Below are 25,320 nucleotides of genomic sequence, written 5' to 3'. Positions count from 1 at the left end.
TTACACTGATCGGATCTTACAAATAGTTGCTTATACAATGTTACTGTTAGTCTTTAGAGCTTGTTTTGAAGGTGTAAAGTCCAAATTATTAAGCACTTAACTTCATCCCGCACCCGGGCCCAGTTGTGACTTGCTTAGACATACTTCCTTGTTAGGCAGCTTCTACATGACTCACTAAATCTCTGCAAGTATGCAGGCTGTTTCCTTCGCTTGCTCTACTCCCAGGGCAAACCTCACCTTAAATATTTTACTCCTGACTCTAAAATACATTTCATAATCTCAAGTATTTTAACAAAAAAGCCGGTGTCCAAACCTCTGTGACTCCCTCCGAAAAACCTTCAAGTTCTGCTCACACGTCTAGCCTGGAGAGCCGCATGGAGTAAACTGGGATGTCTCTAGGTCCTCCTTCCACTCCGCCTCTGGTTTGTGATTTGCAATTACAACAATGATCCTCGACTCTGGCTGCCCCTTGGAATCTCCTGGGGAGCTTAAAAACTAAGATACCAGCCGCACCCCAGACCAATTAAATCATATCCTTGGGGGATTAGATGCTAAATTCTATAGGCTCATTATCTCTGTTACCTCTGCAATCTGTCCATTTGTTCTGGCACCTAATTCAGGCCCTCATTACCTCTTAGTTTTGCTAATTAAACAGTATTTTCGTTGTTCTTTCCCTCTCATTTAATAATAGTAGAGGTAGCGGTAGTGGTGGTGGTGACGCTGGGAGTAGTAAGCTAATAGTTATTGAGGACTTATTTTGTGGTAGAGGCACAATTCTAGACTCATTACAATACACTGGCTCATTTTCGCACAACGACTCTATGAAGTCAGTCTCTTCTAATCCCCATTTAATAGATGAGGAAACCAAGGCAAAGAGAGATGAGGTAATTTGCTTGGAGCTGCATAAATAGAAAGAGGTGGATCTGGGATTGCAACCAAGTGTATTATACAGCCTCCCACTCATATACCCTCCTCCCCGGGTGTCTCAGGTTTTGCTCCTGCACGTACACACCTCTCGTTGGAATGAGATGCTCTGCCTCAAAAACTGAGAATGATGGTCTTCTCCCCATCTGTTGAATTCCCAGTTAAGATTTTCTCCCATAAATGTTCCTTAAGTTTTTGAGGCCTGTGTCTGCTTTGCTATATTATAATATAGACTACGGTAATATAAAATTTACTAGAAAACTATCCATGTTGCTATCTATAATGCCATGTGTGGCAACGGTTCATGCTTCTCTGCCCTTAGACAAAATAAGGGACCCCTGCTCCACCACAATGCTGAGTTATTATTTGCAGAGCACACATCTGCAATGGTTAGATGTTTGTTTGGCAGTTGGAACTACGGGTGTAGAACTTTCTTGAGAGTTCTACAGCTCTCTTGATGGGATTTTATATATTTTTTCTGTCACAAACATTGAGAGGAATAAGTGATGATGAAGAGTTGATTTATTTGAATAAAAGTCTAGAAAGAAAATGGAAGCTTCAAAAAGACAAACAACTGATTATGTGTATTAATACAGTATCTTGGAGTCAATGATAAGATTTACAGGAAGCAGAGAGTAGTCAGGCCTTGGCTGTCGGCTGTGTTGCAAAAAAGCAGGAAAATGAGTGGAGTTAGTTATTCGATGGTGACTGAAGCGCTAAGCCGGGCTGCAGTGGAGTGGCAGAATAAAGGAGGTGACAGAGGTGTGGGAAGTCAGGCGGTAAACAATAAAAAAGAAACAGGACGGTGCTCACAGGAACAGGAAGGCTGAACACAGGGTTTTTCTTTCATTTCTCAGAGGATTGCTCTGTGCAAAAGGAAGAATGGGAAACTCAGAGTACACGTGTTAGTTTTGTTTTTTTGTTCACGACAGGGTCTCACTCTGTCACCCAGGCTAGAGTGCAGTGGCACAATCATGGCTCACTGCAGCTCCGAACTCCCAGCTCAGCCTCCTGAGTAAATGGGACTATAGGTGTGAATGACTGCATCTGGCTAATTTTAAAAATTTTGGCCAGGCGCAGTGGCTCACGCCTGTAATCCCAGCACTTTGGGAGGCCGAGGAGGGTGGATCACCTGAGGTTGGGAGTTTGAGACCAGTCTGACCAACGTGGAGAAACCCTGTCTCTATTAAAAATACAAAGGTAGCCGGGCATAGTGGCACATGCCTGTAATCCCAGCTACTTGGAAGGCTGAGGCAGGAGAATCGCTTGAACCCAGGAGGCAGAGGTTGTGGTGAGCCAAGATCGCGCCATTGCACTCCAGCCTGAGCAACAAGAGCAAAACTCCGTCTTTTTTGTAGAGATCTCACCATGTTGCCCAGACTGGTCTCAAACTCCTGGCCTCAAGCAATCCTCCCTCCTTGGCCTCCCAAAGTGTTGAGATTAAAGGCATGAGCCACCATACCTGGCCACTATATGTTAGTTTTTTTTTTTGTTTGTTTGTTTTTTGAGTCACAGAGTCTTGCTCTGTTGCCCAGGCTGGAGTGCAGTGGTGCAATCTCAGCTCACTGCAACTTCCACCTCCTGGGTTCAAGCAATTCTCCTGCCTCAGCCTCACAAATAGCTGGGATTACAGGCGCGTACCACCACGCCGATTTTTTTTTTTTTTTTTTTGAGATGGAGTTTTGCTCTTGCTGCCCAGGCTGGGGTTCAATGGCACAATCTCGGCTCACTGCAACCTCTGCCTCCCGGGTTCAGGCGATTCTCCTGCCTCAGCCTCCTGAGTAGTTGAGATTACAGGTATGCGCCACCATGCCTGGCTAATTTTGTATTTTTAGTAGAGACAGGATTTCTCCACATTGGTCAGGCTGGTCTCGAACTCTCGACCTGAGGTTATCTGCCTGCCTCAGCTTCCCAAAGTGCTGGGATTACAGGCGTGAGCCACCACGCCCGGCCTCATGTGTTAGTTTTTAAAGGGAAATAACATTCTTGAAAAGTAGATGGAGATGCGACAATATGCAGAGAGAAACTAAGACAGAGGACCCAGCCATCTCAGGTCTTCAGGAGTGGGCTGGCAGACGGCACAGGAGAGGTAGAGGAAGGCACAGATCTGAAACAGAGATGGCTGCACTGGGGGGAGGTGCAGGGCACGAGCCAGGTCTAGGGTGGGCAGATGTGGTCCGCACATCCTCCACCAGGGCTGACTGGCACCACTAGAGGGCACCCGCGCCTCGTGCTTGGCTATCCCAAGTGGGACTCTGGGCCAAAGCCACTACCCTGGCTTATGCCTGAGGTGTGGAGTGCTTGTTCAACAGCAGCTTGTGCCTTGGCGACTGGCTGCAGAACCTGCTGCCTTTCCCGGATGGCTGGTCCCGCACTCACGGTTCCTTCCACTGTCATCCTTGCCTGACTCCCTGGTGATGGCTGTGACAATCACCTGAGAGCTGCATGTGGCATCCCACTGTAGATCCCACTGTAAACTCCCAAGGGCTCCACAGGAGCAGGTCTCCTGATTACTGGAAATCATACAGGCTCCCTGCACCCTTATTTATTTAGCTTTCTGCACATATCTTCTTTCTCTTCTGCTAGACTCTAAGCTTTTAATGAATAAGAATTATCAGTTTTTTTTTTTTGAGACAGAGTCTCGCTCTGTCACCCAGGCTGGAGTGCAGTGGCGCGATCTCGGCTCACTATCAGCTCCGCCTCCGGGGTTCACACCATTCTCCTGCCTCAGCCTCCCTAGTAGCTGGGACTACAGGCGCCCGCCACCACGCCTGGCTAATTTTTTGTATTTTTAGTAGAGACGGTGTTTCACCGTGTTAGCCAGGATGGTATCGATCTCCTGACCTCGTGATCCGCCCACCTCGGCCTCCCAAAGTGCTGGGATTACAGGCGTGAGCCACTGCGCCCAGCTATCAGTATCTCTTAAAATGTCCTATGAGATGAAGTAATGTCTGGGATTCACTTTAAATCCCCTATGTAGCAGGAGGGAAATTCTGGGTGAAGGGAACATGGGGATTCATTATGTAATTCTCTCTACTTTGATACATCTTTAAAATTTTCTGTAATTAAACTTTAATAAACATCATAGAAGCCCAACGCCTAATACCTAGTACAGGGCAGTAACAGTGAAGTCCTATGTCTGCTCGTCTGTAAAATGCATAGGTCATGCAGGATGAGGGTCCCTTCTAACCGCATTCCCTGATTCTGAGGCTCACTGTACAGTCGGCGAGCACCAGTTAGCTTGTGGGGTGAGTGCATCTTAAGGCAAGTGTTGACCCAAGCACCCAGGAAAAGCCCAGGAAAGTAGGATATCTGGTTCTGTTCCAGGAGCATCTCTTATCAGCTTTGGGTTTCAGTCCTTTGCATGTCCTGAGGAGGCCAGAGGTACTGCTTGGATCCACTGCTCCTGTCTCCCAGGATTGTCCAGACCCTCCTTTCCAGCTGGTATTGCCACAGGGCCTGGCAGAAGAGGCTCGGCTGCCCTGAGGAGCATTTGTTTGCATACGTCCTATTGAATTCTTTCCTATAACATCCTGTACAGAAGAGCCTCTTCGGCCGGGCGCGGTGGCTCATGCCTGTAATCTCAGCACTTTGGGAGGCCAAGGCTGGCGGATCACGAGGTCAGGAGATCGAGACCATCCTGGCTAACACAGTGAAACACCGTCTCTACTAAAAATACCAAAAATTAGCCAGGCGTGGTGGCACATGCCTGTAGTCCCAGCTACTTGGGAGGCTGAGGCAGGAGAATCGCTTGAACCTGGGAGGCAGAGGTTGCAGTGAGCCAAGATTGTGCCACTGCACTCCAGCCTGGGCAAAAGAGCGAGACTCCGTCTCAAAAAACAAACAAAAACAAAAACAAAAACAAAAACAGAAGAGCCTCTTCAACTATTGCCTGGCAGCTATGAGGGAGAAGAGGAGGCAATTCTGGGTAAGCCTCAACAGGACAGAGAAGCCACCCTTGCCCACGTGAAGTGGGCAGCGGGTTCAGATGGCAGCCGGGAAGGATCGCAGGCAGGCTTCTGTGATGAACCAGGGTGAGCAGCCAGGGCCATGGGGGTTGGGGGACGGCTATTCCAATTACAAAACATCTGAGGCGGTGTGGTGTGTGTGTTGAGGTCACAACCCAATTGTTAGCCCCAAGCACTCAGCTCTTCCTCACTGTACTCACACATTTGAGGAAACACTGTTGGACCCCATCTGCTTCAGCGTGATGGCAGAAGGCAGTGGCATGGGATGAGGCCACTAATAGTGGCCCTTTGGTGCTTTAAGGTGAAACAGACTTACCAAGTGTGCTGGAGATGGTGACCTCGTGTCCTTGACTGTGGCGCTGGAGGGGACATCGAGGAGGGGCCATTTCATCTGCAGGTACTGCACAGGGAACAGAAAAGAAAAAGCTGTTGGTGAGATGAGGCCTCACAAGTACTCAAAGTTTGCTGGGCTCTGCTGTTAGGGCACCGGGGCAGGCCATTGGGGTGGCCTGCATTTTCATGCCACATGCCCTGTACTGGGTCAATTTCCAAACGATTATAACAGGAGCGAGCATATATTTACAATCACTACCAGCCTCACCACGCCCTATGTCATTTTGGGGGGGGGGACACGAATGACAACTAAGCTGAACTTTAAGTGGTGGAGAGAACCGATCCATTCCAGCACAACCAATCAACATATTCAAAGAACCTACTAGTGAGGCTCAAGTCCCCTCCCTATGCTGTAGTCATGGACACGCAGGGCTGACCAAGGAGGCAGAGGCTCCCAGATGGCCATCCTGCCCCATCCATTTCCATCACTTACGACATCCACACACAATGCTCCCTACGAAACAGCCATCCAGAAGTATCTGGGAATGAATGAATAAAAGCCATCTGCCTGACACAGAGTCATGGGCAACATCTACCCCAACTCAAGGATGCTGAGCTTTCCTTCATTATAGCGTCTCTCAACCCTGAAAAAGATTACCCAGCACCCCATTCTTTCTCATGTCAGTGCAAAAAACCCAAACCAAACAGTACTTCCCCAACACACACACACACACACACACACACACACACACACACACACACACACAATCTCTCTCTCTCTCTGGCATGGCACAGTCCTTGCCAAGAGCCTAGAAAGAATGAGTTGAGTGGAGCAGCAGTCAGGAGCACTGGGAAGGGCCCTTCTGGGCTCCGGAGCCCTGCATTCATGGGTTCAGGCTCTTACTCTGCCAACATAGGCTGTGTGACCCTGAATGAGTGATTAACAACTCTGAGTCCCAGTTTCAGCATCTGTAAGGCAAGGTTATTATCACTCACGGTACAGGTTGTTCGGACTAGGGACGGTGTCACATATTGAACACAGTGCCTCGCACATGGGAGACATTTGATAAATGACGCCTATTATTTCCATAAGCAAACCATTAGTCTTTGCCAGGAGCAAAAGCACACATGTTGTCTTAGTGTCAACGCTGACAGGTTGCTTCTGGGCAACAGACCCGCAAGCAGCCTCTTTGCAGAATTCTTGAGACTCCTTTGAGAATGAAAGCTGTAACGGAAAGTGGTGGCCCCAGGAAGTTTCACAGAAAGAAGTCTTTGGCTGGGTGCAGTGGCTCATGCCTGTAATCCCAGCACTTTGGGAGGCCAAGGTGGATGGATCACTTGAGGTCAGGAGTTCAAGACCAGCCTGGCCAACATGGTGAAACTTCGTCTCTACTAAAAAAACAAAAAATAGCTGGGTGTGGTGGCGCAGGACTATAGTCCCAGCTACTCGGGAGGCTGAGGCAGGAGAATCGCTTGAGTCTGGGAGGTGGAGGTTGCAGTGAGCCAAGATCGTGCCATGGCACTACAGCCTGGACGACAGAGTGAGACTTTATCTCAAAAAAGAAAAAAAAAGAAGCCTTTGAATCATCCCTCACTCTGGTCATGTAATATCAGGAAAAATCAATCACAATCTGGCTCTGCTGTGTACAGGAGCAGGAGGGCGATGGGAAGAGCCCCAGAAGGCCCCTTTGCTCTTCATTCACCATAAGTCTTGACCAAGATGGCAGGGACTGACTGGGCTTTCAAAAAGGTGTCCATGGGCAGGAACAACAACTTAAGGTCACACGTGCCACAGGCCAGACTAGCACATGGGATGGGCCAAGCAGGCCTGGCGCGGGAGACCTGGTGGGAAGTGGGAACGAAGCCCTATGAATTAGGACAGTCTTTTCACTTTGCGACCTCTGTACCCCCACCCCTCAGCCCTCAAATGGGGTGTCACCTCTGTCCCTGTCCTCTGCTGACCCTATCTTCTTCCTCCCTTCCCACCACCACCCATCCCTTGCCCTACCCAGAGCCCACACACCCGACATGAATTAACTGGGATTTCAATGCCTGTGGCAAGTTAAAAGCACTGGGCAAATATTGGTATCAATAGTTAAAACTCATTTTCACTGTGAATAACATTTGTGCTACATTTGCACTTGTCAAAGCATTTTCACACACAAAACCCAGTGTAATCTGCACATCAACCCTGCAATGACAAGTAGGGGTGACTATCCCAAATTTTAAAAGGAGCTAGGCCGGGCGCAGTGGCTATGCCTGTAATCCCAGCACTTTGGGAGGCCAAGGTGGGCAAATCATTCGAGGTCAAGAGTTCAAGACCAGCCTGGCCAACATGGTGAAACCCCGTCTCTTACTAAAAATACAAAAATTAGCTGGGCATGGTGGCGTGTGCCTGTAGTCCCACCTTCTTGGGAGGCTGAGGCAGAAGAATCACTTGAACCCAGGAGGCGGAGGTTGCAGTGAACCGAGATCACACCACTGCACTCCAGCCTGGGTGACAGAGTGAGACCTTGTCTCAAAAAAAAAAAAAAAAAAAAAGGAGCTAATGGACATAAACAAAGGCTAAACGCTTCCCCAACTTCATACAAGACAGCTGGAGCTGGAGCCTAGGTCTCTGGACTTCAAATCCCACACCTTGCACAAGACCAAGTCACGAAGCTTTTCCTAAGACTGTCTTCCTCAACTCTCCACCCGCAGCCTTCTCTTTGCTCGGATGTGTTTTCTCTCTCCTTCTCTGTCTTGCACGGGGCTGGCCACCCAGAAACAGAATGGGTCCATGCATGTCAGTGTTCTCCTGGAGGGATGCTGAAGGTGCCCAGAGCTTGCACTTGAAGCCTAAACACCACACTCGTTTTTCTAGAAGCAACAACTTGAACATTTCTGGTTTTAAAAATTAAACTACAATAACAACTACCAGGTGCTAAAGAGAAGTATCCCAAATCTATACCCCCTAATATTAAACAGGATAGATGGGTACCTAAAAATCCATCAACTCTACCAGCATCTGCCCCCTATTTAGGGCCACAAAGACACACATTCATTCTTGTTGGCTTACCAGGGATGTCCTTAGATCATATGGGGGTGGTCCAAAGAAATGTAAACCCTAGTCTGGGATGGTGCTAGAGTTTTGGGTCTTAAATAATCCTCTCAAGTGACCTTATAGATTGTCTGGCAGAGTCGGCTTGTAGGACTGTAGTGCAGGGTTTCTCAGGCTCAGCACTATGACATTTTGGGCTGGATACTTTTTTTATTGGGGGTGGTGGGCTGTCCTGGAAAGTTTAACAACATCTTTGGCCTCTAACTATAATACTAAATGCCGATGCACTCCCATATAGATCATCAGAAATATCTCCAGATTTTGCCAAATGTCTCCTGGGGCTGAGGGAGAGAATCTTCCCTCCCGCAACTGAGAATCACTGCTCTAGTGGCCAAGGAGCTGGCACCCAATAGACTGCAAGCTCCATGAGGGTTTGTCTGCCTTGGTGCTGGGGATATCAAGGTACAGGTACATTTATGTATGCTTGTATTTTGTACACACATTCATAGTAAGGGTTTTCAGTAACAGCCACTCTTTTGGGTGTCTGACCATGTACTTGTTTTATCTATGTAACAAGAAGTCTTGGCTTCTGCTGGGAGGAGACCACACTGGTCGTGCCTACCACTGATACCTGGCCCCTTACAGACAAGTCAGGCAGTGTGAGGGAAAAGACCAGAAGGGAGAGGTGGTCCTGGGAACAGTGAGCATCTCACCGGGACTGACCCTGCTCCAGCCATGCCTGGGGTGGTGCAGGGGCGGTGTGTAGGGAGGGACTCACTCTGGGAGGCAGGAGTGTGGAGGATCGTGACTTTCCCTTTTCTATTTGTCTTTTTAAGTTTTGGAGATGAGTGACGGGGGGAGGAGGAAGAGCTCTAAGACTTTGGAGCCCCTACAGCTTGGCCATGGACGGCCTCTGCATCACAACTCTGAGGAAAGGACAGTTGAACTTCCCAGAACCGTGAATTGGGGCAGCAGGAGCCAGTGACAACCCTTGTAATCCTCTTCCACTGCAGTACTAGACATTTGAAGATGGCCAGGTAGTTCTGAATTCCTAGCATCAGGCCTAGCCCAACTAGAGTGGAAATAAAGTGCTTCTGTTTATTTATTTATTTTTATTTTTTATTTTTAGAGATGGGGGTCTTGCTACGTTGCCCAGGCTCGTCTTCAACGCCTGGGCTCAAGCAATCCTCCCGCCTTGCTCTCGCAAAGTGCTGGGATTACAGGTGTGAGCCACCATGCCCAGCCAATAAAGCTCTTCTTAGCTGTAAGGCCAACCCCACGATCACCCTGAGGGCAATCACTCATGGGTGGGAGCATGTCCTTGGGGAAGTAAGTGATGGCTGACTGTGCTTAGATTCTTTGCATGGTAATGGTATGTGGGCAGGTTAAAACTGCTGGTTTCTCCATGCCCAGTCTAGGCTACATTTAACTGGCTCTGCAAGGCCCAGCTCCTGACCAGTGTGTCGTGGCTGGGCTTCAGCCCACAGCGAAGATGTGTACACGGGCTGGTCCAGCCACCTCCCTCCTGGGGGATGCCCACCGGAATGTAACACATTGAAATGGTGATGAATGGCATCAATGCAACTGATGGCCTGGCAATAGCGATCGCTCCCACTTCTGGGGTGCTTTCTATGGGTTAAATACCCGCTTTTGGATGCTCAAAAATAGAAAGGAAAACACCAAACCCAAACGGCAGGTACTACTGTCTTCGATTTACATATGTTGTGACTATCTAAGACAGGACAGATACACAGTTTTCCAATCTCACTGAATCTGAGAAACACTTTTCTGGGGACTGGGGTTCTGCTACTGTGGTTCACAGTTAAGTAGACTGAGGCTGTGGTTTAAAACATGTCTTTACCTCATTAAGGAAGGATGATTCTAATCCTATTTTTACATTGTTTTCATTGGAGCAGTTGTTGCATTTTTCTCTCGGCATTTACCAAAATGGTCATGTGGTTTCTCTTATTTGACTCATTTATGAGATGTATATATAGCAATAGATTTTCTTACATGAAGGCATTTTTGCATTTCCCAGGTAAGCCCTATTTGGTCATGGTGGTTTGTTCCTTCTTACGCTGTATTGTGGAATGCTAGTCATGTTTTAAATTTTTGACTTTTACATTCCTAAGTAAAGGTGAACAAAGTTTTCTTTTCTTTGGGTGACATCTTTATCGAGTGTTGCCATCAGTGTCCTTGTGGCTTTATTATTCAGAGGGGCTCTGCTCCTCTCTTTCTCAATGTTTTGGGCCCCTCCTTAGAGCCCTCCTTGGGGCGAGCACTTGGCCAGGCGGGCTGTTTCTGCTCAACGTGGATCTCGGGAAGGGTCCCTCTGAAGGATGCTGTCACTAGAGAGCTAGAGCCCCCTTTCCTGCAGGAAGGCGGAGAATCCATCCTACAGAATCCTTGCTTTGATTGGAGCCATGGAGCAGATTAATTGCAGCTGTGCCCTGGAATTTCCCCAACACACAAATCTTCGTGATGTAAAACAGCTGGGAGGAAATCCCAGCATGCCCTGTACAGAGGCAGGACTGCCAATGAGCTACGGAGATTAACCCTCCGGCTCCCAGAAGGTAGGGAGGGCCCCGCCCCAGCCGTCCTCACCCTGTCCCACACTTGCTTAGTGTGGACAGGACTCTACAGGGCTCGGGGGAATGCCCACATTCTCCCTGTTCGCACGTTCTCACAGAAAAGCCTTTAAGCAGGGCCTGGGCAACAGAGGAAACAAAGCTTCATGTTACAGAATCCACAGCTCCCCACAGTTGCATGCAAGGAAAACAAGTCAGCTCCAAAAACTGCACAGGTGAGAAAACTCCAGCCCAGAGAACGCCTTCCGCTGCTTCTAGAGGAAAGGCCCAGTAGGCAGAGAAAGCGCCCCTTGCTCCAGCCCCATGGTCTCGCCCATTTTTGGCCACTTGCCCATCAGCAGACACAAAGGGTCCCAGTTTTGGTGACCGGTCCTTCCTGCCTCTCTGGACCCCTATGGTAAACAGTGACTTTGGGGACCTAGAGCCAGGATCCCCTTTGATAGAGAAGCAAGGGTTGCCCAGGCTTTTCGGGAGATGTAAAGTCCCAGTGCCACCCAGAACCCAAGGCTACACCCAAACTCCGGGTGCAGGTGGCTTCCCACCACAGTGACAATAACATTATTCAAAATGCTCTCCTTGTCCTCTTAGAAACTCTATGTAACAGGAACCTATACTATAACCGTACTATAAATGAAAAATGTGAAGAAGCGATCCGTGTCTCCCCGTCTCCATTCTGCCACAGTTGCAGTCGTTTCTTGCCTGGACTACTGCAAATCCTACCAGAGTCAGCCTTCTAAACACCAGTCACATCTCTCCCCTGCTCAGAACACTTCCCTGGTTGGTTTCTGGGGTCAAGAGATAAAGCCCCCAAACTCACCAGCAATCCCACACCACCCTATCCTTCTGGCTTCCACCCTCACCGCCCCCCACCCCAGCTGCACAGAGTCCTCACTGCACTCTGAACGCACCATGCTGCCCTGCTGCTCCCCGGCCTGCTACGGCCTTTACTGCATCCTTCACTCGTGGGAAACTTTAACCCCTCTTCTTCAAAACCCATTTCCTCCCAAGGTCACCCTCCCTGGCATGAAGCCTCCATGAGTCTGTCGCTCTCGAGAAGCGGTACACGGTGTTTCCATAGCACTCACCAGGCTACTCCTCCCCATTTGCACACTCTGTCTGCCCTTGGGACGGTAAGCTCCTCAAGGGTCATGCTGCACCTCAATTCCTCACCCAGAACCCGGCAATCATGATGTGTTGAAACCCTGTCCCATGCTGTATTAATGCCGTGAGCTTAGGCCCAGTTTCCACATCTGTAACGAGGGGTTGAACAGCCTCTGCCTGAAGCCTTTAGAGCAGGGGAGAGATGTGACTGGTGTTTAGAAGGCTGACTCTGGTAGGATTTGCCGTAGTCCAGGAAAGAAACGACTGCAACTGTGGCAGAATGGAGACGGGGAGACACGGATCGCTTCTTCACATTTTTCATTTATAATACGGTTATAGTATAGGTTCCTGTTACATAGAGCTTCTAAGAGGACAAGGAGAGCATTTTGAATAATGTCATTGTCACTGTGGTGGGAAGCCGCCACACAGGAGCCCATTTCACTCATGGGCAACGCCTGCTTCTCACAGTAACTGGCTTAGTCTGCCGAGAATACGTAAATGTAGCATGGAGGCTGGGATGCCCAACTTGGCCAGTTCTTGGAGACCTGTTTCTATCTTCTGTACTAAAGTTCACAAATGGATCTAAGTTTGAAAATACACTGACACTGAGCAATGAACTCAGGAATAGGGAGACAGAAAAGCTTTCCCAATTGGGAAAACATTTTTAGTTTTCAGCAGTCGGTAAGAGAAAACGAAAGTGTAAAGAACTTGTTCCCAAACAAGATGGATTAGACAAAGAGTTCCAGGGGCAAAAGTATAAAAGAAGTTTTACACTCTTATCCCTTCTTTCTTAAGAATGAGTCATTTATGCCTTTGCTTAACTTTGTGGATGGCACTAAATCCCAAACACATTTTTTGTTTTACCTGAGGGTAGGTTAGATTCTTTCTTGAGGTATTTTTTTTTTTTTTTTTTGAGATGGAGTCTCACTCTGTCGTCCAGGCTGGAGTGCAGTGGCGCAATCATAGATCACTGCAACCTCCACCTCCTGGGCTCAGGCAATCCTCCCATCTCAGCCTCTCAAGTAGCTGGGACCACAGGCATGTGCCACCATGCCTGGCTAATTTATTGTAGTTTTGGTAGAGACAGGATTTCACCATGTTGCCCTGGCTGGTCTCGAACTCCTGAGCTCAAGTGATCTGCCCGCCTTCACCTCCCAATTCTGCTGGCATTACAGGGGTGAGCCACCGCACCTGGCCTACACTGGTCTTAAACCAATGAAGTGACTTTGCTCTCTCTAGCACCTGTCACAGCATTTAGTCAACAAATGGCTTTAAAGCCCATGCACTGGTAGCAGAGGGGCTCCAAAAGCATTTCATAACTGAATAGTAAACTCAAAAGTAAGAGTGTGTCAATTAGGTGTCAGTTTCACCATAAACACCTCTTTCCTCTGCTTTCCCCAAATGATTCTTTCTTTTGTGGATGATCTCAAAACTATTCTCTTCCCCTCGCATTCCAAAGAACCTGGCAATTTTGCCTCCTAGATTTGACCTAAGGTTTGTTTTTAAAAACTGGCTCCCCCGCAGAAGCCAAGCTTTCGTTTTAGAGCACAGGAGGCAAGAGATCAGGGTTCCAGGCTCTTTCTAACCTTTCTGGACTCCATCGTCTCATCTTTAAAATGGGAATATTTTACTTCATCAGCCTGAAGCAGGGGCCTGGACTAGATGGTCTCCTTTGGAAGGAAAAATCAAATTCAGCTGTTTGTCTAAACACAGAGGGCACTGGGAGTGCCGACCGTGTTGAGGTGTTCAACAAATACGGAATCAGGGGTCCTAGCTGAACCCCACTTACAAGCTGTGTGCCTGTGTACATCACCTTTCAGAACCTCTGGTTTCCACATGTAAAATAGGAATAAGAACACCTACTGCCTGGCAGAGTGATTATCTCACGTGTGGCTGTCACACTCAAGTGTGAGTGTCCTCTCACACTGGAGAGGACCAGGCAGAGTGTGGGGCATGCGGGGAGCTTGTAAGAAATCTGTGTTCAGTCACTAAATGTGTAAGTTATTGGTATTCTAGGAGCCTGTGACCTGCGCTTTACCTGGGGAGACAGGTCTGGTTCGGTGGTGTGTTGGTAAATGCCTAACAACTGGCTCTCTAAGCAAAAAACAAAGTGAAAAACCAAAGCATTTGCTGGTATTCATGGTGTAAACACTCCCGCTGATTTCAAGGTACCACGATGAGTCACTGAAGGCTCAGCGCGGAAGAGATGCTACCAATTGGCTGGGTGCCAGCTGGCTCAGGCACACCAATGACCGTGGGCAAGAGCTGGGTTGGAGGGGTGGTCTCAGATGTGTCCTGACTTGCTGGGATGGCTGGAAAGCTGAGACACACATGGTTCTCAGCTGACGTGGGCCTGCTTGAGGTCTTGATGGAGAGCCGGACACTTGGCTAGGTATGTCCCCCGACAGCTGCATGCTCTGGAGGAGGGAAAACTCTGCTCCCAGAGCACTAGGCACAGCCATTCTGTGGTGGCCCTGACCAGGGGGACCCCGGGACAGAGCCCTAGGCTTTCAAACAATGTCAAAGTTCAACTTGCTTTCGAGTCCGCATTTCTGCAGCCTGGAGCGCTGGGCCTGCTGAGTCGCAAGCTGCCTCTCCCATCGGCTGTGACCTTGGGTTTGCTGGGCCTGGGCAGTGTCTGTGCAGTGTCTATGCTCACTGCCCAGCCACCAATGTGCTGCAGGAAGTGTCTTCGTGGAAACTGGCTTTGGAGGCCCAGTCCTCCTTTCCCTGAGGTGAACCCTGCTGGGCCCCTCCCTCTGTCTCTCCCCTGTCGCTGTGTGCCTGGGAATCTACTGACACGCTTCCCTCCCCTCAGGCCCTCAGGTGAGAACATCTGCCCTGGCCCCCACAGGATGCAGAGTCCACCTGCTGGCCTCTGACCAGGAGCTCAGACTGGGCTGAAAGAGCAAATGCCTTTCTCCTTCACAGCCTGCAGCCTGTTCTCTGGCCTGCCCATACCCACCCACGCCACTCTGCCCCCACTCCATTCGCCGGCATAGTAGGGCTGGTCCCATAGCCATCCCCACAGAGCTGCCTCCTCCTGGGTTACAGGAGGTGCCATAACCGACTCAAGGGGCCCATGCTCACAGACATGGAGGTGTTTCCCAGGCTTCTGCTGCAGTGAACACCCTTGAACACTCACCGTGTCGCCCATGTATGTCTATAGTGGGAGGACACATTTCCAGCTGTGAGGGGAATCACTAGGTCAAAGATATGCACACTTAAGTTCTGAGGAGTGTTATTAAATTTCTCCCAGTTGACACTGCTAACAGCAACCTGGGAGAGGGCTTATTTCCCCACACCCTTGCCCATACAAGGTTATCAAACTGTTTAAACTTTGCCAAACTGACAGGTAAAAAAGTCCCTCACTGGAGTTTCCATTACTCTTATAATGAGTGAGGCTGCGAATTGTCCTCTGTATGGGTGATGATTTGAAGGAGGGAAAAAAGATGTGTGTGGCACAGAGGAAGTGGGGCACATAATCTGCTGGATGGCGGGGATGGGGGAGGACGAATATGGAGTCACTGCAGGTGAAACACAGGAGGGGTCTGTGGGTTCCTTGCAGCTGGCACAGCCTGTGCAACCTCTCCTGCACTTGATCTTCACTCAGGTGGAAGAGGCCAGAGAGAAGGAGCTGAGGCTGAGTCTGTGCGCTGTTGTGAGTGAGGAGGAGGTGGGAGGAGAGCCCAGGAAGCTGCTGGTGGGCAGCTGCCCCTTCTGGTTCTCCCCCTTTCCCTTCCCCGCATGTACACAGGCTGCTTACATGCCCTCCCCGCCTCCCAGGTACTTCTCAGCCCCCAGAAGGCTGGCTTCTGTTCCACTCCCTCCACTGTCTCTGTAGACACTCTCCTGTCTTTGCAAGGCCATGGATGACTTTAGGAAGAAAATAAAGGCAACTGGCTTTTGAACTGCCACATGACATGGGCAGCTCTGGGGAAGCCTCTCCCCGCTCCTGCCCTGTGGCTGCAGGTTCTGCATGCCTTTTGGGTGATTTTTTTATTGATTGATTGATTGATATACTGGTTAATGGATTGATTGATAGGGTCTTGCCCTGTCAGCCAGGCTGGAGTGCAGTGGCACGACTGTAGCTCACTGCAGCCTTGACTTCATGGAATCAAGCAATCCTCCCACATCAGCCTCCTGCATAGCTGGGACTACAGGCAAGCACCACACCACCCGGCTAATTTTTTTTTTTTTTGGTAGAGACAGGGTCTCACTATGTTGCCCAGGCTGGTCTGAAACTCTTGGCCTTAAGTGATCCTTTCGCCTTAGCCTCCCAAAGTGCTTGGGATTATAGCTTTGAGCTACCACGCCCGGTCATCCACATTTATTGACCTGAATAAAGTGTGCTGGACAAACTGTTCAGTGAGAAAAGCCAATTAAATAATCTGGAAGCATAGTCACCCAAATGTTATCGCTGGATTTTTAACATTTCAGGCAATTTTATTAGTTCCTTTTTCATATTTTTCTTCTTCACTTGAAATTTTTACAATCAGTATGTCTTATATCATAGCAACAGTAAGCAAAGCTATTAAAAGTAACCCCAGATGAATTATTTTCAATCCTGTGCCTTCAGTGTACCTAACCAGAAACCTCAAAATCCACTTTAATGACTTTAGTTACCTCCCTAACCTGCTCTGGGCCACCCAATTATATGGCTTCTGGACATTTTTTGAACCCTATTCCGAGGAGGAGCCCCTGCAGCAGCCTTCTGGGTTTGCTTGAGCTCCTGCAGGTTCTCACCCAGGAGGAAGGCAGCGGGGGTGGGGGGCAACCCGGTTTGAAAGGGGTGGTAGTGGGCTGCAAACCACATCGGCAGGTTGCTTTGCCTCACATTGACAAAATGTCTGTTGTCCAAGAATAGGGTAGTTGACAGAAATGAAGGGATCCCAAATCCTCTCTCCATTGAGTCATCAGTGCTCCTGTTCTCAGTTCATCTCTTCCAGTCTACCCTTCACTTACCTCTAGAAATATCTTTCTAAAACATAAAACTGTGCTGTTTAAAGCTAGCAGGAGGCTACTCATTCTTACAGGACTGCCTACCAGATGATCAAGATGCAGTGACAGCTCTGTACAGAGCCCTCCATCAAAGTTTAGTGAGTATCTCATATAAAAGGTGGCTGTTTATATGCATGATATACCACAGGAGAGATTTTTAAAGTACATAAATAACTAGACTATAAGCCTATAAATGACAGGTTCAGATAAGACAGGGATGGCAATGGGCAAGAATTATCGTGTTACAACTGAAAACTTCATAGAGGAGGTGGCATCTGTGCTGGGTCCTGCAGGCAGGATATACTTCTACAGTTGTTTTACTTTTTAAAGCATTCCATATGAATTATCTGATTTGATATTACTGACTCCTGGATATAGGTAAAGCAGATATTATTATGTTCATTTAAAAAATGGGAAACTGGGCCGGGCGCGGTAGCTTATGCCTGTAATCCCAGCACTTTCGGAGGCCGAGGCAGGAGGATCACGAGGTCAGGAGCTCAAGACCAGCATGGCCAATATGGCAAAACCACGTCTCTACTAAAAACACAAAAATTAGCCGGGTGTGGTGGCGGGTGCCTGTAATCCTAGCTACTTGGGAGGCTGAGGCAGGAGAACTGCTTGAATCTGGGAGGCAGAAGTTGCAGTGAGCTGAGATCGCACCATTGAACTCCAGCCTGGGTGACAGAGGGAGACTCTGAATCAAAAAAACAAAGGAAATTGAGCCTGCTGGAGGCTGTTGGATTTCCTCGACACTGGCACTAGAATATAGGACTTTGGGCGTTTATGTTGTAACTCTAAGGGTACAAGGACATGATTTCTGCCTTCTAGAAACTTGTGGTTGGGAATGGGACTCACACTTGTAATCGCAGCATTTTGGGAGGCTGAGGCAGGTGGATCACTTGAGCCCAGGAGTTCAAGACCAGCCTGGGAAACAAAGTTAGATGAGACCCCGTCTCTACAAAAATACAAAAAAAATTAGCCAGGTGTGGTGGCGCACGCTTGTAGTCCCAGCTACCCGAGAGGCTGAGCTGGGAGGATCGACTCAGCCCTCGAGCTCGAGGCTGCAGTGAGCTGTGATTGCGCCACTGCACTCCAGCCTGGGTGACAGAGTGAGACTCTGTCTCTAAATAAAAAATAAAGAAACTTCCAACTGATCTCGGAATCTTGGGATAGCAAATATGGGGCACAGGAGCAGTCCCATCCCTCCGTGCTTGTGGCAGACACTGCTAGTAGACCATGGCACTCTTTCTTGCTAAAGGTGGGTAAGACCTCAGAATCCTCAACACTGAGGCAGCTACTAACAGTTGATTAAAACTGACCTGTAAGGTGCAATCTATTTATTCTCTCTGATTTACGCCAGGAGGTAGATACAGATGTTCTGTCTGGTGAGAAGGAGGGGCAGAAACCAGGTCATAGAAGCATCTCTCCTGGCTGGCACAAAGCGGAACTCAGCTCCTAGACAGAGGTGAAGGCTTCACCAAGAATGTGACTAGATGGCAAAAACAGTCATAATTTGCAGAAAGTCCATTGACCAAAAGCAGGCCTGAGAATTCTAAAGTTTACGGACTTTCCCCTATGGGAGGAGAAGCTGGAAAGCATCCCAGGTATTGAGGAGAAAGGAAGCAGGATCTGTGTATAATCAGTGAGGAACAGGAAGCGCTTATCTGGGGCCAGTGAAATACTCAACACAAAAGAACAGCCAGGCAGCCTGGAGCTGCCTTCCAGCCACAGAGCTTCAAGGGTCTCTTAGAACCCTTCCCCGCGGCTCCTGCAGGCCCAGCAGCTGGCCAAAGTCAACAACTCCTGGGCACCGGGAGATGGGAAATGTCTGAGGAGGCCTCTCCATAGACGGGCAGTTCCAGGAGAGCTCTCCGACCCCACAGGTGAACAAGAACACAGGAGAATAAGGGTCACACCAGCCACCTCTATACAGGGCCATTGCTCCTGATAAAGGAGCCTGAAGAAGGGGTCCTGCACCCTACACTAGTGTGTATGCAAATGTGGGTGCACATGTGGCTTACATATCTCAGGGAACAACACGATTTTATGTCCATATTGAAGGGAGGGTGCAGGAAGTTATGACGGACAGTGGAAGGGCTGAGAAGTTCCCATCTCAATACTATTAAACAACACCTCCTATTTTTTAGTACCTAAAATATTTACATTAATCGGCCTTAAAATATTTAAGTATTTAAAATATTTAAGTATTTAAGCCAGTATTTTTGGCTGGGTGTGGTGGCTCACGCCTGTAAGCCCAGCACTTTGGGAGGCTCACCTGAGCCCAGGAGTTCAACAGTAGCCTGGGCAACATGGTGAAACCCTGTCTCTACAAAACACAACAAAACAAAAATGTATATATAGCCAAACAAACAAAATTATAAATACATATGTATGTGTATTTTTTATGTATGTGTATACACATGTATATACGTATACACAATTACACATGCATGTTACAGGCAAAGTTTGATATCTTGGATACTGTTGCTTACAGTGAAGCTCCATTTTTAAAAAGTGGAAAAAAGTGAATCAATTCAAAGAAAAATAATTATGTAAATAGTATAGGTGGTATGTGGCAAAGATTATGTGAGGAAGTGACATCCAGGGAATATGGTTGTAGGACTGCATGTTTGTGGCCATCCAGGGGCTACTGCCAGTTGTGGATGAGGGCACCCCTAGGAATTGGAGAAAGAGGTTCTGCACACAGACTCAAAGGTCAGAGCATCCCAGGACACACCACTATTGTCTTCCCAAATTGCTTCTCACCGAGATCTACCATCTCTCTCTTCTCATGTACCTGCAGGGTCAAAACCTCAGACATCTTTTCCTCCACCTTCTTCCTCACTTTGTCATCTAGCCCATCAAGTCCTGTGTTTTTTCAATCTCAACTACCACTGTCTTGCAATGGCTCCCTAACATTCACCTTGCCCCACACTCGTTCCTCCAGGTCGGTCACACACCCTGCTGCCCGCTGACTTTCCAGCTCACAGCCAGGCTCATTTCCTCGCTTAGCTTCCCCTAAGCTCTTTGGGGATAGGCATCCAATCTTTTTTTTTTTTTTTTTAACCTGCCGCTTCAGAAAGGCATCCAGGCTGGGCACGGTGGCTGACGCCTGTAATCCCAGCACTTTGGGAAACCGAGGAGGGTGGGTCACCTGAGGTCAGGAGTTCGACACCAGCCTGGCCAACATGGTGAAACCCCGTCTCTATGAAAAGTACAAAAACTAGCCGGGCATGGTGGCGGGCGCCTGTAATCCCAGCTACTCACGAGGCAGAGGTTGCAGTGAACCGAAATCGTGCCACTGCACTCCAGCCTGGGTGACGTGAGCGAGACTCCGTCTCAAAAAAAAAAAAAAAAAAAGGCATCCAATCTTATTCGCCCTTTGGGTCCCCACGGCCTTAAGCACAGCATATCATTTGTGAGAGGTGCTTGATGACTATTGCAGGGTGTTCTAGGATTAACCAAATTAGAGGTGCAAGTCCTTCTCTCTGGAGGTGCTGCCTCCCAGGCAGCTCTAGTGGAAATGTTGTCTGCAAAGGCAATTAGCGGTCACACTCCTGGGGTTGTTGCCACAGACCCTAATTTAGCTGACCTAGGGTGAGAACAGAGAAACCATCACCTTTTGGGAGAATGATGGATAGAGGGAATGGGAAAGTCCGCTGCCACTGGGGACCCTATCAGGTGAGTAAGACTCCATTTACCTAAAGTGATCAAATAAAAAACATTTACCAATATCATATCTGCTTCTATTTTTATATTTTCCCCTACAGTTAATACATTATTAAAAAACAAACAAAAACATTCTAATCTTTTGTAGCTGGGGGCCTTGATGCTGGGATTCTTCTGTTCAGCCCCACTGTGGAATACAGCACTTCTGAAATTCATACTCTGTTTGATATTAATATCATTTCAGATAAGCAAATAAGTATGTGCCAAAGCCAGGGACAGGAAACTGTCTGCATAAATCTTGGATAAACAGATTTCTTTAAAGAAAACATTTAGTGATGCGTTACCTTGTGCCAGATACTCCATGTGTTATTTCGTTTAACCCCCACAGCCTTATAAGTTGATGCTATTATTATCCTCATTTAACAGATGGAGGGATTAAGGTACAAAGAGGTTAACTAACTTGCCCCAGTCTATCCCAAACCCAAAAGCCAACTCTTTTTTTTTTTTTTTTTTGAGACAGAGTCTTTCCTCTGTCGCCCAGGTTGGAGTGCAATGGTGCGATCTTGGCTCACTGCAACCTCCGCCTCCTGGGCTCAAGTGATTTTCCTGCCTCAGCCTCCTGAGTAACTAGGATTACAGGTGTGCGCCACCACACCAGCTAATTTTTGTATTTTTAGTAAAGACAGGGGTTCACCATGTTGGCCAGGTTGGTCTTGAACTCCTGACCTCAAGTGATCCACCTGCCTCGGCCTCCCAAAGTGCTGAGATTACAGGTGTGAGCCACCATGCCCAGCCCCAAAGGCCAACTCTTTTTTTTTTTTTTTTTTTTTTTGAGACAGAGCCTCGCTCTGTTGCCCAGGCTGGAGTGCAGTGGCACAATCTTGGTTCACTGCAACCTCCGCCTCCCGGGTTCAAGTGATTCTTCCACCTCAGCCTCCCAAGTAGCTGGAATACAGGTGCACACCCAGCTAATTTTTGTATTTTTGTAGAGACAGGGTTTCACCACGTTAGCCAGGCTGGTCTTGAACTCCTGACCTCAAGTGATCCGCCCGCCTCGGCCTCCCAAAGTGGTGGGATTACAGGCATGAGCCACCACACCTGGCCAAGGCCAACTCTCAATCCTTTCATTATGCTAGTGCTGGAAGAGAAGAAAACATACCACTCCTGCAGCCCATCCTGGCACTCCTCAGATAAGGGCAGTCAGGCCCATGGGGTGAGCTGTCCCACCAAGGTCACGGAGGACACTGGCAGAGCTGGGATCAGAACAACCCAGGTGTCCTGGCCGCCAGCTACAGAACAGCTATGATGGATCAGGTTATTTTTTTTACAACACATAAACATAAAAATAATTGGAAGGGGATGAAATACTAATGTAAGCAAATCAATATTATAAATACCAATCTGAGAAGTCATAAAACACAACAAAAGAATACTTGTATTATTGAAAGTTTCAATATGGATAAGCCGTAAGGCATGCAGAGCATGCTCAACAGCTCCACACTGCCCCCTGGTGGTTCCCAAGTCCCCACCGGAAGCATGCTGGACCAATGACCAGCGGGAAACAAAGGCCCTGGACAAGGATACCTGCTGCACTGAAAACCCCAGGAGCCGGTGACCTGGTGGGCCAGACAACAAAGATCCTCCTGGGCTGGGCATCAAGCCGTCAAGGAAAATCTCTGGGTTCCACTCCCATTTGTTTGCAGAATTTGAGATAAAGAAGTTATGAACTCAGTAATGAGTTAACTACTTTTAGTCTCTCATGTTGGCAGTGGCCTTTTCCCCCTTTAATTACCACAGGCACTTTTTAATACCCTGGTGGTGGGAAAGTAAATTAGTAAATCCTGTCTTGTGCAATTTGGAAGTATGTATCAAGTCTTCTGAAGGCTTACTGTCTCTAGGAATGCATCCTAAGGAAATAATTAAGGATGCAAGCAAAATATAGCTGCAAGGATGTTCACTGAAGAGCTGTTTATAATAGCTGAAAGATATTAAATGCCTTATGCTGCAATTATGATATCTGAATTTATGTAGTAGGTGGTTATTTACAGAAACAGAAAGGTGTTTACACTGTTAAGTGAAAAAGCAAGATACGAAACATGTATTTCCACCTGTGTAATGGGGAGTGCTTAAAAAAAGAAAAAACATGTATTGAATCCTACTTTTACTTGTAATTTTGTAAAACAGGTATCTTTATGTATGTGTTGAGAAATCTGGAAGAATATACACTAAGAGGTGAGTTGAACTTAATCTCTCTGGGAGACAAGATTATGGGTGTTTTTATTTTATTCTTTTGGCTAAACATACATTGATTTTAAAAGGTAAATGCAAATATATGCAATGGGAATCACTTTTTAATTAAAAAAATTAAATATATAAAAACACTCAAAAAAAAAAAACCCAGTAAAGTCTATATTCAAATCTTCAGCCTCTCATTTCTGAACTTCTGAGTGCTGTTTTATTTTGAATGGGGTCTTGCCCCTGACAACCTTCCCAACCGTTCCCATTAGGGCCTGGAAAAATGTGACCTCAGCCGTTTGGAAGCCTTCAATGGTTCCTGGGCAACATACGCTGGGGCCAGTAAGTGCTGTGACTGCCAGCTGCACGAGTCCTTCCTTGGCTGAGGAAGGGTCCACTCTACAGCCCCGCCCTGGACACTCTCCTCCACTCTTTCCCTTCCAGAGGGATTCCCCTCTGGGGGAAGGTCTGGGCGCCAATTCAACCAGAGGAGACAACCCAGTCTGCTAGTTCTCAGATCTCACTGGCACCAGGGCTGCTGGGAGGAGCTTTAAAAACACTGATTCCTGTCTGCGTTCCCCATTATGATTTAACTCTTCCAGGGTGGGGCTTAAGCATCTACTTTTTTTTTTTTTAAGCTCCCAGGTAATATTAATGTGCGATCAGAGTGGTCCCCAAATGCTCACACCTACCCCTCCATAACTTTCTGTAGTTTCTACCCATTGTTTGGGCTTCTCTTTCAAAGATGACCTTCCTGGATCTATGGTCCTGTCTCTTTTACACTCTTCTTTCACAGCCCAGAGCAAGCATCCACCCACTTACCCATTAAACACTGTTTAGTGCTACTGTGTGCCAGGTTCATGGTTCTCCCCTACCTAAATCCTTGCCTAGAATACATATCTTCATTCCGGTGGATCCATTATAAGGCTCAAGGTGGAAGTTTCTGGTAAAAATGGAGAATCTATAACCTGACAGCAGCCCTCATAAATTAGCCATCACAAAGTGAGACAGGAAATGCCCACACAAGTTTCCTGATGGTTTATTGGACAAATTCAATATCATAACCCATATGCCATAAACACTCCTAACGGCGTTAGCACATTACATGCCTTCTTTCTGGGTTGGGAGAGGGGCTGCAACACATTCCCCCAACTCTCCAATCAAATCCAGGGCTTGGTCTTTATGGAATTTCAAGCATCCAGGCTAGGCTAGTTGGGTTAGGGAGGAGGGTACATTTCAGAGCACAAAGGCTCTAAAAACATTTCTCAAATCCCCTGTCACTTCCTGACTGACCTAGTAGAACACCAATTCTAGGCATAGCCTGTGCATGAAGTTGGTTACAGAACTTAACTTTCACAAGCAGCTGTTTGAGGACCGAGACTGGGTGGTGATCAGGTCTTGTTCAGGCCTGATGATGACCTGAAAATTCCACATCTTTGCCACTTCCTTCCTGAGCCCCCAGTTCCTATCCAGACTCTGAAACCCAATCACTGACCAGGTGACAACTCCATCTCATGTCCGAGGATTTGTGATGCATGCACAGCACCAGACTGGGTAGGTGTGGCCCATTTGAATACTTTTTTGTAAGTCCACTGGCCAAATTCTCATTTGATCCACCTTGATTTTCCATATTCCATTCTATCCATTCCTGGAGGTCAGGAGTACTCACGTAGTCACTCAGATACACGCTGAATTAAACTCCAAGTCATGGTTCAAATGGGTCATTGATTTCTTCCTCTTCAATTTCCATTTTTCCCTTCAAAGAAGGAAGAATGGGCAGGAAAAATCAGTGCAATTGGCTGGAGACCCACAGTTGGATGGGCCCTGTGCTGAGGCCGTCTCTCCCTTACAAGCTCTTTACAAAACCGTCAAACCCCCACTGTCAATGCCTCCACTCCCTCCAATCATTCGGCCCACTGCCACCTGCCTTCCACGTCACTGGCCCTGTTTTCGCTAAGGCCACTGCTGACCTCCTAACTACCAAACCCAATGTCATCTTCCAGGTCTTTTTCCTAAGAGGCCCCTCAGCTTCTGGGGCACCCTTTCGGCTGGTTTTCCACTTACTCCTCCAGCCGCTCCTCAGAACCTTGGCCTATGCCTCGAAAGCTGGTGTTCTCTGGGTAGTCTCCTCCTCCCCCTGCAGGTTGGCACCCACGCGGTGATCACGCTCATCTCTGCAGCTGGCTCCAGCCTTCCTCCTCATCTCCAAGTGCTTCCTTGACACCGTGCTACAGGCAGCTCAATCCCACACAGACTCATCAAAATCCAGCCCTGATCCTGTTTCCTACATCCTATCAACCAAGGCTCCTTTGAAAGTGAAAGGGAACACCTTTAACAATTATGATGGATGATGTAAACCAGGACATGCGGTCACCCTGAGTATTGTACAAACCTTGGGGATCATTCTGGCCTCTTCTCTTTCCCTCACTCTCTACAACTGACAGGGGACCAAGTCTTGTCA

General features: G+C 48.0%; 1 protein-coding gene across 2 annotated transcripts in view, besides 1 other annotated feature; it reads right to left on the bottom strand.

The window, feature by feature from the left end:
• The window catches only part of TCF7L1 (transcription factor 7 like 1), a 176,996-nt gene that overhangs the window by 21,601 nt on the left and 130,075 nt on the right, over window positions 1–25,320 (bottom strand). For both annotated transcript variants that reach the window (XM_006712109.3, NM_031283.3), the window contains exon 4: window positions 5,209–5,292. In XM_006712109.3, coding sequence (XP_006712172.1) covers window positions 5,209–5,292 — 84 coding nt within the window. The remainder of the gene's footprint in view (window positions 1–5,208; window positions 5,293–25,320) is intronic.
• Window positions 3,094–3,163: a silencer, noted in NCBI's record as "silent region_11695". NCBI's record gives its function as "represses an Ori minimal core promoter by ATAC-STARR-seq in GM12878 lymphoblastoid cells {active_cell/tissue: GM12878}" and the evidence as "EXISTENCE:reporter gene assay evidence [ECO:0000049][PMID:35858748]".

The sequence above is a fragment of the Homo sapiens genome, chromosome 2 (genome assembly GCF_000001405.40).
Source record: "Homo sapiens chromosome 2, GRCh38.p14 Primary Assembly".
Taxonomy (NCBI): domain Eukaryota; kingdom Metazoa; phylum Chordata; class Mammalia; order Primates; family Hominidae; genus Homo; species Homo sapiens.
The sequence above is the reverse complement of the archived record's forward strand: the minus strand, read 5'-3'. Positions and strand labels throughout refer to the sequence as shown.